Source organism: Homo sapiens, chromosome 2, assembly GCF_000001405.40.
Source record: "Homo sapiens chromosome 2, GRCh38.p14 Primary Assembly".
NCBI classification, from domain to species: Eukaryota; Metazoa; Chordata; class Mammalia; order Primates; family Hominidae; genus Homo; species Homo sapiens.
In genome coordinates this window covers 143728873-143741073 of record NC_000002.12, presented here as the reverse complement: position 1 = coordinate 143741073, position 12201 = coordinate 143728873, and the positions used below count along the sequence as shown (strand labels likewise).

At 38.0% G+C, this 12201-nt stretch overlaps 1 protein-coding gene and 1 long non-coding RNA gene across 11 annotated transcripts in view, besides 1 other annotated feature; one reads left to right on the top strand and one right to left on the bottom strand.

Moving 5' to 3' along the window:
* The window catches only part of ARHGAP15 (Rho GTPase activating protein 15), a 638934-nt gene that overhangs the window by 27279 nt on the left and 599454 nt on the right, over window positions 1–12201 (bottom strand). For 2 of the 8 annotated variants that reach the window (XR_007078554.1, XM_011511482.3), the window contains one exon: window positions 6343–6429. The exons of the other annotated variants lie outside the window; for them this stretch is intronic. Coding sequence is in view for 1 of the 2 variants with exons in the window: in XM_011511482.3 (XP_011509784.1) it covers window positions 6423–6429 (7 nt within the window). In the remaining variant the exon portion in view is untranslated. Of the gene's footprint in view, window positions 1–6342; window positions 6430–12201 lie in introns of those variants that run through there. 8 annotated transcript variants of the gene reach the window in all.
* ARHGAP15-AS1 (ARHGAP15 antisense RNA 1) overlaps window positions 1–12201 on the top strand; it is a 135343-nt gene that overhangs the window by 35025 nt on the left and 88117 nt on the right. The gene's annotated exons all lie outside the window — the stretch shown is intronic.
* Window positions 11540–12160: an enhancer, noted in NCBI's record as "NANOG hESC enhancer chr2:144486483-144487103 (GRCh37/hg19 assembly coordinates)". NCBI's record gives its function as "activates a minimal SCP1, AML or CMV promoter by ChIP-STARR-seq in naive H9 embryonic stem cells {active_cell/tissue: H9 hESC(naive)}" and the evidence as "EXISTENCE:reporter gene assay evidence [ECO:0000049][PMID:30033119]".

The window sequence follows — 12201 nt, the reverse complement described above, 5'->3', positions numbered from 1 at the left end:
CTTTTATATTTTTGTCATTGTTTGGTTCAGTGATTTTGGGTGGGACAAGAATGGAGGAGGGAGATGAGTGACAGGATGTGAAGTAGTTTTATAGCAATACAGTACATTGAATATAGCTGCTAAATCCTCGCCTTTCTTTTTCTTTTTTTTTCAATTAACCACAGCTTCAATATTTCTGGAAAAAAATGGATGGGATGGTATTAGCATTTGCAAAACAAAAGGCAGTGTAAATCCATGCTGAAACACATAAATATGGCCCTCAAACTGGAAGCTGAGTAGATCCTGTGTTTCTCATTTCCTGAGAGAATTTCATTGTCTTTTAAGGCACTAAATAGCTCTGTGCTACTGACAGTTTTGGGGCCCACATTTATTCTACAATAAGACAGCAAACTGCCCCTGCTGTACCTGGGACTACATCAACTGACAGACCTGGCGGATCTCGTTGACACTGCGCTTGTTAGCACCACCGCTGACGCTGTTTTGATGTAAATTTCTCAAACAGTATCAACAGCCTGGTGAGAATATTGCTTCTTATTGCAGAGCTCTTTTATGAGTTTTTACACTGCAATTTCAGGAATTTCTTTCCTAGAGTTCTCTGTGAAAATTTCCAGTAGCATTTTTCAATTGAGGAAATATTTTGCATGTGTAATGGCTCAAGGGAATTGCCTTGCTGGAGACACTACATTTCTACCTGTCACAGAAAGTCAAGAGGTAGATTCTGATGTATCTGTTGTTCCTAATATGCAGACAGACAGTGGTAGCCACAACGGTCAGGACATATACATATAGCCCAGTAGATTCTCTGCAGATTGGTTTAGATCTATCAATCCTTGCCTAAGCTAATAAGAGATATAATTACGCTCATCTTGTAGATTCATGTATATGAGGGAAAATGCTATTTTAATATCTGACAGCAAAATTCCTCCTAGTGGAGAAAATCATTTTTTTTTTCTGTTTTGCTTAGCAAAACATTTTGATGGACCATTTTGGTTGTGGAAACATAATCTCTCAAACACAGCTAGAAAAAAAGAGAACCAAATTCTCTGCATAAAACACAAAAATGGACTTATGAGAGCTGTGTGCAAAAAGAGAGATTATGAAAGTAGAGTGTTGGGGCAGAATGACACGGTGGGAAGTTGGAGACCAAATGGAAATGACAATCTATGAAAATTCCTTAGTTGGGGGTGTGGGGAGAATGATCAAGGTGCATTTTAGTAACAGGGGCACCTATTATTTAAGTTTACATAGTTTGCATTTTAAATTATCAGCTAGGCTGGGTGTGATGTGATCTCTCTATCCTCTGTCAATCTTCAGTAAAAGTCAGCTGAATGCTATGGCCTAGAGTGAGCCTTGGAAAACAATGAAAAGGAATTGTCAAGATAAGAGAACATTGGCCAATGGGAAGGCATGAGTGAGTTGTGGGTTCAAGGGTAGCAGGAAATCAGACCAGAAATACCTCAAGAAAATATCAACCCTTTCTGATAACCTGAAAGATACTGGGGTTCTAATTTTAGAAGAGTTGGAGCTTTGAGCAAATTTTAATTTTAAGTGGAATGATGATGCAAAATTCCCAAGGACTCTGGGCGCTATTTCTTGCCTGCTTCAGCTGCACTCAAGTTTCTTATAAGAGCCTATGGACCTTGCCAGCTCACAGGATTGTGATTTCAGGATGCAGCAGGACTGAGCTGTATGTGGCCAGTTTTCCCAAATGGCCTTTCTGCTTGTGATATTGATTCTCGGTTTTACTTTTCATTTCCCATGAGGACCAGAATCTAGCTTTGAACCCCAGCAGGATTGCTAGGGAGCTTGATTCCCTCTTGTTGTTTTTGCTATCATCTTCTTCTAAGGCTGCTGTCTTTTTCTGGTCTTCCAAGTATACTTCACCTGCGATCACTGTTTGCCCCTAAGCACAGGTCACAGAGCCTTCCAAGATGGAGTGTGCATGCAGATGGGCTCTCTTAGCCTCATCACTGGGTCAGTCTTCTCTGCTTAAAAACCAGCAGCTGGTTCTATTGTCCATAAGGTAAAATCTCAGCTCCATAATAGGACACATTATTCCTTTGATAACCTGGTTCTAGCCTCTCTTTCCAGTGATCTTCATTCAAAATGATCCATGATCATTCACCAGAATATTCCTTTTTCTCCCAATTGAGGACACCTGACCTTGTTTTCGTTACGGCTGTTTGAATCATGGGCGGAGGCTTGAACCAAGGAATGGGACCAACCAGAGTGTCTTTTGTTGGCGTTAAGGACATTTAACCTGGCGTTAAGGACATATCAGTCTGTGTAATTGCTGGTGAATGTAAGTTCTTTACAAAGCAAAGCATGTGATTTGCGGATTTTAGAGCTCAGTCAATTCATGGATTAAGAAAAGAAATAGAAACAAGTAAAAATGATGCTTTTGCTCACAAATCTTTTTCTCACCAAAAGTAATTATTAAACTTTAAATTGTTATTAACACCAAAAATGCTTGACATTATCGTGACTACAGAGAACCTATCTCACATAAATAATGATGATCAGTTAGTCTCCATGATGTTCGAAGAGAGGCCCGGAAGTTGTTCAAGTCAAAGGAATTGATCTGGCTCAAGTCTGCTTTAACCAGTCAACCAACCTATACAATATTGGTATCTGCTGGGATGGCCAGTGATTACTTGGGAAAAATCCAAATGTTCAAATCCACAGTTGAGGATTGAAATGTGCCTTTATTCGTAAGAACGCTAAATGACTCCACAGACTACTAGTGAAAGGCATATTCCTTCTGGATTTGACCAGTTCTATATGATAGCTTATTTGCTACTCTGATAAAAAAAAATTTAACTTCCTGAGGCACAGATTGAGCTGTTTCTAAGGCTTGTCTCAGCAGAAGTACCTTATAAATAAGAACTTCAATAGATTTCATCTGCTAGTGAATATTATTTAAAACTGAAAATGGCATCATGAATCCCCCACCAAAGCCCAAGTTAAAAAATATATATATGCTGCCGATGCTTCTCAGGTTTGTGGTGCTCTGATTCTGAGGATTGCAATGCAGTAAACGAACAGGTTTCAACTTTGGGAGGCTGAGATGGGCAGATCACCTGAGGTCAGGAGTTTGAGACCAACCTGACCGGCATGGTGAAACCCCGGCTCTATTAAAAATACAAAAATTTAGCCGGGTGTGGTGGCGCATGCCTGTAATTCCAGCTACTCAGAAGGCTGAGGCAGGAGAATCACTTGAACCCAGGAGGCGGAGCTTGCAGTGAGCCGAGATCGTGCCATTGCACTCCAGCCTGGGCAACAAGAGTGAAAACTCCATCTCAAAAAATAAATAAATAAATAAATAAATAAATAAATAAATAAATAAAATAAATAGGTTTCAAAAGTTTTCATGAGATTACCATTAGGGATGGGAAGAATGGTTCCTTATGTTCATGCATTTGGCCAGTCAGAAAGCCAGAGGACATTAAATAAGCATGTTCGAATCTTTTTGGTTCTACTCAATTGATAGTATCATTTTCACGTGCGAGACATGTTTCTATCATTTTCTTCTTAGGAATGAATTTAAAACCTATTGTTTATGACTGGCAGAAGAAATGTACAAAGGGCAGTGCCCAGCATTCATCCTCATGTTCTACATTTTCAGTTTACATTGCTTTCTCTGCCCAATACATGGTTATGACTATAGAATAACAAAACAATTCTATAAGGCATGTTTACAATTCTAGTAATAAAGCTTTCTGCATATCAGCTACTGAAGGATGTTTAGAAAATGCATAAATAGGTCAAATGTGAGACAAAGTTTTAAGAACCAGGAGCATTCATGTAAATGAAGAGAATGCAGGAGACTGCTGCAATGCAGTAGAAACTCTCTTGGCTGACTCCCACTTAATCAGCTCTCTATCTCCTCCGTAAAACATATTGACCAATGCCCACAACATATTCAATGTTCCCGGCTAGTTAATGACTCTCAACTGCGCTCATCTGTTCCCACTAGAGGAAAGTCCCAGGAGAGAGTCCCAAACAAGTTTATGCCAGTTGTACTTATTATTGTAATTATGTAATTTAATTAAATATTATGTAAACTGATGAAATATGAGCACAAAAGGAAGAGAGTTGCTTTGCAAACACTTTCTTTGGAGAGAAAAATATTCTATTATGTCTAAAATTACTAAAGTGTTTTCTCTGAGGGTAGGGATAGATCTGGGTGAACTCTCAAGGCCTTTTCCAAATTTATCATGATAGATGTTGGTTGGGTTTTGAAATGTTGCTTTCTTTTAGATCTAGTCCTTCATTCTATTTCATATGACAATAGCTTCCAGCTATCATTTCCTGAGGGCTTACTGTGTGCCAGGCATTGTGTAAAGCAATTTGCTTGCATTATCTCATTTGATATACAGAGTAGTAACTGTTAATTTTTGAAAACTTATGTGCTTGGCTCTATGCTGGACACCTAATATATATTACCCACTTAATTCTTATAATAATTTGTAGATATGAAAACTGAAGCTTAGAAGAAATGAGAAATTTGTCTACATTCTACACTTTGTCTATAACTATACACTCTACACTTTGTGTAAGTAAAAGAGCTGGGATTGGAACCCTACTCTATTTAATTCCAAAGCCTTATCTCCTATCACTGTACTCTACTGTCTCCACATATAGGTGTGTTGTTTGTTTTTTTGCTTTTTTTTTTTTTTGACAGAGTTTCGCTCTTGTTGCCCAGGCTGGAGTGCAGTGGTACAATCTGGGCTCACTGCAACCTCCACCTCCTGGGTTCAAATGAATCTCCTGCCTCAGCCTCCTGAGTAGCTGAGGTTATAGCATGCACCACCATGCCCGGCTAATTTTTTGTATTTAGTAGAGACAAGGTTTCACCATGTTGGTCAGGCTGGTCTCGAACTCCTGACCTCAGGTGATCCACTCCTGACCTCCGGTGATACCCACCTCGGCCTCCCAAAGTGCTAGGATTACAGACGTGAGCCACTGCGCCTGACACATATAGGTTAAGGACCTGGCTTACTTATTCTTGTAGTCCCAGTGCCCAGTTTAGTGCCTGTCTCATCACATGTGCTCATGAGTGTTACATGGATGAAGAAATGCACAGATGGATGGATAGTACTTTGATATTCTTCATAAGCCTTGTCAATTTAGTAGTAGCAAATGAGAATGAGGGATAGGCAACCTTTTCTAATTATAGGCACCAGCGCTCCTTAATGTGAGTTAGCCTTCATTTATGTCTATTGATTGAAATATTGTTGCAGAGACAGGATAGTTTTGTTGGACAAAAAATATTGTAGTTATACTTTACTACTGTGGATAAGTGGATTTTTTTTTGACTTCTAGTCATTCTTCTTCTTCTTGCTAAGACCATCTTTGGGGAAAACTGCTTCTCCCTCACTTCTAGTCTGTGTGGTTGAGTGGGCCTGTGTCTCAAGCCTGACTAATGAGAGCCATGCAGTCCTCTGCCATAGAGAATGGATCAGGAACGAACAAATAATAAGGGGCTCAATCCAGGACAAGAAGAATAATTTTTTGAGAATTTTCTTTTCACACAGTGAGAGAGAAGCTTACTTGCCCCTGAGTACGCTAAGCTGATACGATACAATTCTGGTGTTGCCATCTTGCTACCAGGGAGAAAGATTTTTAAGTCAAAGCTAACCCAGAGGCAAGCAGAGTTTAGAAATGGAAAGAAACAAATTCTATGCAATACCCTTTGGCAATTGAATCTAGTCACGCCCAAAGTCACGTCTGATTGTGGAATTTTCAGTTATGTGATCCAGCAAATTCTCTTTTTTGTCTAAACTGTTTGAGTTGGGCTTTTGTCACTTGCACTAAACTTAGCATTTCTTAGATACCTATGGAAGCCTAAGATAGGTTTTCACATAGTAAATAATGGTATCAAATAGATTGATCCAGAAACCATGGCTTATAAATATTTAGGAGAGAAAAAGAAATTACGTTTAAAACAAAGCAAAGTAAATTATACATGAAGCTGAATCGAATATCTGTCTCTAAAATCATAGTTCTAGTGGGTGTTTTAACTTTGGTGCTTAGTACTACTATTTCGTTTTTTAATTTGAAGGAATATTTGCTAATCTGCTAAATAAAAGGTCTTGATTAAGAGAGAGGACACGACATTTCAGGATCTGTATTTCTTAGGAGTCTTCAGATAAAGTCAGAATATTCAGGAGGAATACCCCCCACCATGTTTAAAATGAATTCTTTAATTCAAGACTTCTTCAAGGAGTATTTTCTTCCTACTCACTTGCAAATCACACACTCATGTATACATATCCATGTAGAAACAGAAATCCATTCAGGTACAATCTAACTTGCAATCAAGAACTGCTAAAATAGGACCTTTATCATCAGCGCAGCACATCCCAAAATGTCTTTGTAAAATAAATCAAATTATATGAGTTAATTGATTCCAGGCAACATCAGCAACTGCAGGTGGAGACAGAATAACAGGATGTTTATTAATGAAGTACAATTAATCAAAATCGACAATACCAATTCCTGTTTCTTGTATTTGAAAGCTACCTGCAGTGGCTATAGATGTATTTGTTGAATTTTTAAAACACAATTTTTTACGAGGGAACAAAGGGGGATTTATGAGAACATGGGATTTTTAGCGTGGGTTTTGGACTACTGATGTTTAAACAGTGAAAATATACTCCTAAATGCAATTTGACAAGCGATGCCAAAGATGCCAGTGGTAATTAATTAGCACTTAATTGAGACCACAGACCAACAGGACACAGGAATTGGTCCTCAGTGCCATTTCCCCCTTAGGCTCCATCTCATGAGGGTCAGGAGTGTGGCTGCAAGCTGAAGGTCAGTAAGTAAATTGGGAGAGCACATTGACACTGGACATTTCATGATGGATCTCATTCACCCTTTGCTGCTGCCCCTGGCTATCTCTGATGAGAAAAGGACCGTGACTGTTCGAAGGGAGAACTTAGCATTCATGCACATCTAAACCAAGGTAGGGAAGGCCCTCACCTGCTAGACTAGACTGGATGCTTCACAAAAAGATCAAGATCAAATATTAACATGAATGGGGGCAGGGTTATAGTTAAGATTTTTATAAAACAAATTTAGATAAAAGAGAAATTTCTTAAAACAAATTTTTTGCAGAAGTAGTTTTTCAGTAAAAAATGTAGATAAGAAATTTCTTAAATAATTTTTTAAGAAAATTTTGTAGATATTATAGATTATGGACTTAAAGATTTTAAAGACTCTAGAAATTCCATCTTAGGTATTGTACATATTCCCCCAAGTCCTCCCCAAAACACACACTTTTTTATCTTATTAGGTAGGGGTCAATGTCCTGAAACAGAGAAAAATTCCTCATAATCTCATAGACTAAGCAAATGAAGAAATGCAAATGAATTCTTTTAATCTCTGAATAAATTATAGCTTCTGACTGAAAATGTATGGTAGCTTGTCTTACAACACGAGTTGGGAAATAAGTTTGTTAAACTTGCTACTGTATTTTCTGAAAAACGAAGTTGGGACAGTTTTTATTTTTCTAGCTTAGAGATGAAATCAGTAACTGAAGGCACAGTTGATGGATGTAACTGGGAATTGAAGTCTGGGTTCTTGGGTACCAAATCCTCAATCCACACAGATTATTTTACTTTTGAAGGGCCTTCACTCTCCAAAATGGGCTCAGATGAAGTACAAATGCTACATATGCATCTGGAAAAAGACTCTTCAGGGATCTGATTTATTTGGTCACACACATGCCTGCCGTTAAAATGAATCAGATCTCCATCCTTTTCAGCATTCCTAGAAAGGGCTCAACTCAGATTCTTCAGAGGTCCTTGAGAACTTGTCTTAGACAATGATGCTCGCTGATGGAGCAGAGGGCACAATGACGATTTGATAATAAGTACTCTTTCTCTTCTCCCAACTGACCTCCTGACCATGGCTCATCCATTGACCTAAGTTTGTTCCCATGAACTGAGAGTTGCCTCAACATTACTGCTCCTTTACCACCACTGGAGAAATCCTGGACAAAGACTTTCTTTATGAAAGTGGAGATATTCATGTGACATGACTGGGGTAGATCAGTGGCTCCCAGCCTCCCTCTCTATTAGAAAACATAATTGTGTGTCAGTGATGGCAACAGAGAGAAATGCCATCTGGTGTGCTCAAAAAAAAAAAAAAAAAAAACCCAAAAACAAAAATGGGGAAGGAGGGTTTCCTTATTATCTTGATATTACTTTACCAAGAAACTTCAAGAAAACCATGTCTTTTAGTCAACCCTCATCTCTGTTTTTTAAAGTTTGCAAACCTTATGGGGTATTTAAAGATAAAATCATTTTCAAACCAGGAGCTATGTGTACTGTTTAGTGAGTTTTTTTTTTTAATTCTATGAAAATCTCATATGTTTTCCATTGGCCTTTAAACACTTCTGATTTTAATACTGACAACCTGTATTATTTAAACACCTCCTGGAAATCCATACATTTTAGATCTTCCCTGAAATACAGCTTCACAGTTATAGTTCTATGCTTGGCTAAAATTAAATGTGAGGTTGTGAGCTACCTACTTCTACCCTGTCAGTAAACGTTTCTGAACTTACTTTGTAAATATGAGCATCAATCTTATTTTATTTCATATTAACCTGATTAATACTTCCACAAAGAATATACTGCATTTTAAAAATGCATTCAATATAAAAAAGTTAAAATATACTTAAAATGACTAAGACAATAAAGGTGAAGAAAAAATAAGGGATGAAGGTAGTATTCCAAATGCATGCTATGAGGTTCCAAATGCTTGTTGGATTTGGGCCAAATTTTATTCCAGGCTTGCTTCATTCCCTGTGAGTCATTTTACCTCCATGTAGGTGTCCAGTGATTTTTACTGTTAACTTGTGAGAACATTTCTGCTTTGCTTGTGCTAACTGACCACATCTGTCCAGAGGCAACAAGATTCAGAATTTCTTATTATTTTCCCTTTTGCAAGTCAAATTGGTGAAAGGAACAGGTTCCAAATCATTCATTCATTCATCTGTCTAATTCACAAATATTTAGTGATTTTTATGTGCAAGTAACTCTGAGAAGGAAGGCAATTTTGCATAGAAGCTGGCCACAGGGGCTCTGGATTCAGACATACTTGCATTTTAAATACTGACCCCATCACTTTTAGTTGGTTGATCTAGGAAAATAACACCTTCTCTCTGGATGCTAGATTTTGCTTCCATAAATTGAGGATAATAATGACTTTACATGGTTGTTGAATTGAGAACATGTATTTAAAATTTTTCAGCAAGATATGGGACATATGGTTAGTATTCAATAAGTTGTGTCTATTCGTGCTATTCTGCAAGAATCAAAAAATAATAAGCATAGCCTTTGCCCTAAATTCACTATGCTATATGCAAGCATCAAATTCACCTTTACAGCTATTCATAAGAAAGGCTATGAATTCAAAGTATGGAAAAGTCTCTGCAGTTAGGACCAGATCTCTGAATAGCAGATCTAAAAGAGCAGGATATTGAGCCAGGTCCTCTGAAGAAGTGGTAGAATCTGGGATAGGCAGAGAGCGCACAGAGGAACCTGAACTGGAGGGACGAGTGTGGAGAAAGTCCTAGAGAGGGAGATGTATGAGGCATGACTGGAATTGATGAGAAAATTCATTCATTTGGTGGAAAAGAAAAGCCTTCTTATATGGAGGTAATAGAGACCACCAGGCAGAGCTAAGAAAATGAAGCACCAACAATTTGATAGAAAAGGAATCTCTGTGATGGAATTACCCCCATTGGAAACCAGAAAATCTAACAACTCTAACTGTATTTAACGACCTAGAATAATTAGTCAGTTGGAGCTCAAATGCCTTCAAGGTAGTTTATTTCCATTTTCTTTCCACAATTTAAAGTAAATTTGGGTTATAGAACATGCAAAGTGGCTAGATGACTTGGGAAAGTCCCAAGTTTGCTCATCTTTGAAATGAGAGGATTGAGCAGTTTCCTTTCTAGCGTTTCACCTCTAAAACCAATAGACCATTTCCCTCTTAAAAATGAGGATAAAAGTCAACTATTACTCTCTATTGCTGCTCCACTTCTACTGGCCTCTTGGATGTCTCTGGTTAAACTCCCAGATGTCTGCAATAAATTCTGTGCACACTGAATCAAAAAAAAAAAAAAAAAGCCTTTTTCCCTTTTTTTTTTTTTTTTTTTTTTTTTTAAAGGAGTGCTCTAGGTGTTGACTGGACTGAAATTGCACAAAATTAAAAACAAAACCAACCCCTTCCCACACACCACCCAAACAAAAACCTTCTATATGTATCTGGAAGCCACTTTACTACTTCCTGATTTTTAGACTCAACAGTTACATTTTTAAAGAGACACTGCACTGTGGAATATAAACGTGTGAAATCTAAATACAAAATATAATGAAGCCCCTTGAACCAAGTCATGCAATGAGAAAATTTTAGGGCAGCCAGGCACTTTTGACTTTTGAACTCTATTTCTAGCTGTACTGCTGTTATTTGGTGGGTTTCGAGATGAGGCCAGCAACTTCCTAAGTGGCTTAGTTCACTCATTTTCAGAAGACACCCCTTATTCTCATGTTTGCAGCATCCTTCTTATAAGGGGCTTAGGATATTTAAGCCTCAACATTGTCCAATACGGAATAGTATACAGTCTTTATGAATTACCAGTTTGAAAGACAAAGAAATATTGCATACTTTTGTGTCAGCACGGGAAACACCCTTTTGTGAGTCACTCTCCAGCAAACTGAAAGAGACATACGATTACAGTGTGTGTCTAGGCCTTTCTAAGCCTCCAGCTCTAGGGACAATGAAGAACAGTAGAGGATGGTGGCTGGCACCAAGCACAGGTGACCAGAGAAATATCTTCTCACTTTGGCTGCGTTGTGGCAGCTCTTATTTTGGAATTTCTACTCTAGTATATGCCCAGTCATGTTACTAACAAACCCTTTTATATCTTCAAAGTAGCTTTCTATATATGGTGGTCTTTATCTTCTTTGAAAGCCATTCATTAGAACACTCCAAGTAATCTGATTTTCCTCTGTTCTCAATTCCTTGCCTCTTCTGTTTTTCTAAAGTCCAATTCCTGACCTCTATTAATACCTTTAGGACTCCTCTGTGGTCTTACCCCACTTTCTAGAACACATACTTATTTATGATTTCTCCCTCTCACCTCACAAAAAATCCCTAAACTTATACTTCTTCCAGAAAACTTCCTGGCTAAATGGAAGACTAGTCAAGATAACTTTCAACATGTACTTTCTAAAAATGCATTTAGTCACTTTGATTTAAGGCAATCTAAATCATTATTTCACTTGGTTTTCAATCTGTGTCTGCAATATCTCTGCTTTGCTGTGATCTATCTTAGCTTGTAACTTTGTAGAGAGAGCAGGATGTGTCAAATTCATTTTGAGAATGCCTTTGTAAGGTGAAAATTTGTTTTTCACAGATCTCATATTTATTGAGCACCTACTACATGCCAAGCACTGGACCAGCTTCTAGCATTACAGGGATGAACAATATATGTTCACCACTGTGGAAATCATCAAAAGCAGTAGCTGTTTCAATAGAAGTAGGCGTAATATGCAATGATGGTAAAGACTTGGAAAACAAAAGTGAATCGGACCAGGCAACAGCCCTGCTGAAAATGTGGGTGGCCAGTGAAAGTTTCTCTCTAAGGCCTTTTGACTTGATGAAAGACTGTATTAAATTGAATGTCAAGCAGATTTGACCCAGGAAATAATGACCAGTGAACAACAAGCAGAGCCTGATTGATTTCTACTTCCTGCATTGCTTAATAATCCTTTTAAAAGTGTTATTGTAGATGCCCTTGATTAGGGAAATGCATTTCCATTTTCTGAGCTGTAGGGTCTAAAACTGTGTTTGCTTTCTTGCTTTGTTCTTGCTTGGGTCCTTCATTTATCAGAACAATACTAACAAATGGCTCTTTTCTCAGGTATGTGAGCCGCAGGGGTAACTCAGACCTAAATTGCCTTTTCACTTTTTTTCTTGCTATGCATGCACATGCAAAAACGTCCACCTTCAGACTTTTTACTGGTACATCGCGGAGGAAACTTGAGTGTCGGTTTAAGTCTGCGTAACTGAGACCATAGCTCTGTGGCTTTCACTGCACTTCCCAGTGCTGAGTAGACTGCTGGGATTCCACAAATAAATAATAAAAATAATAATGATTTTTCAAGCATTTGGAAATGCTGA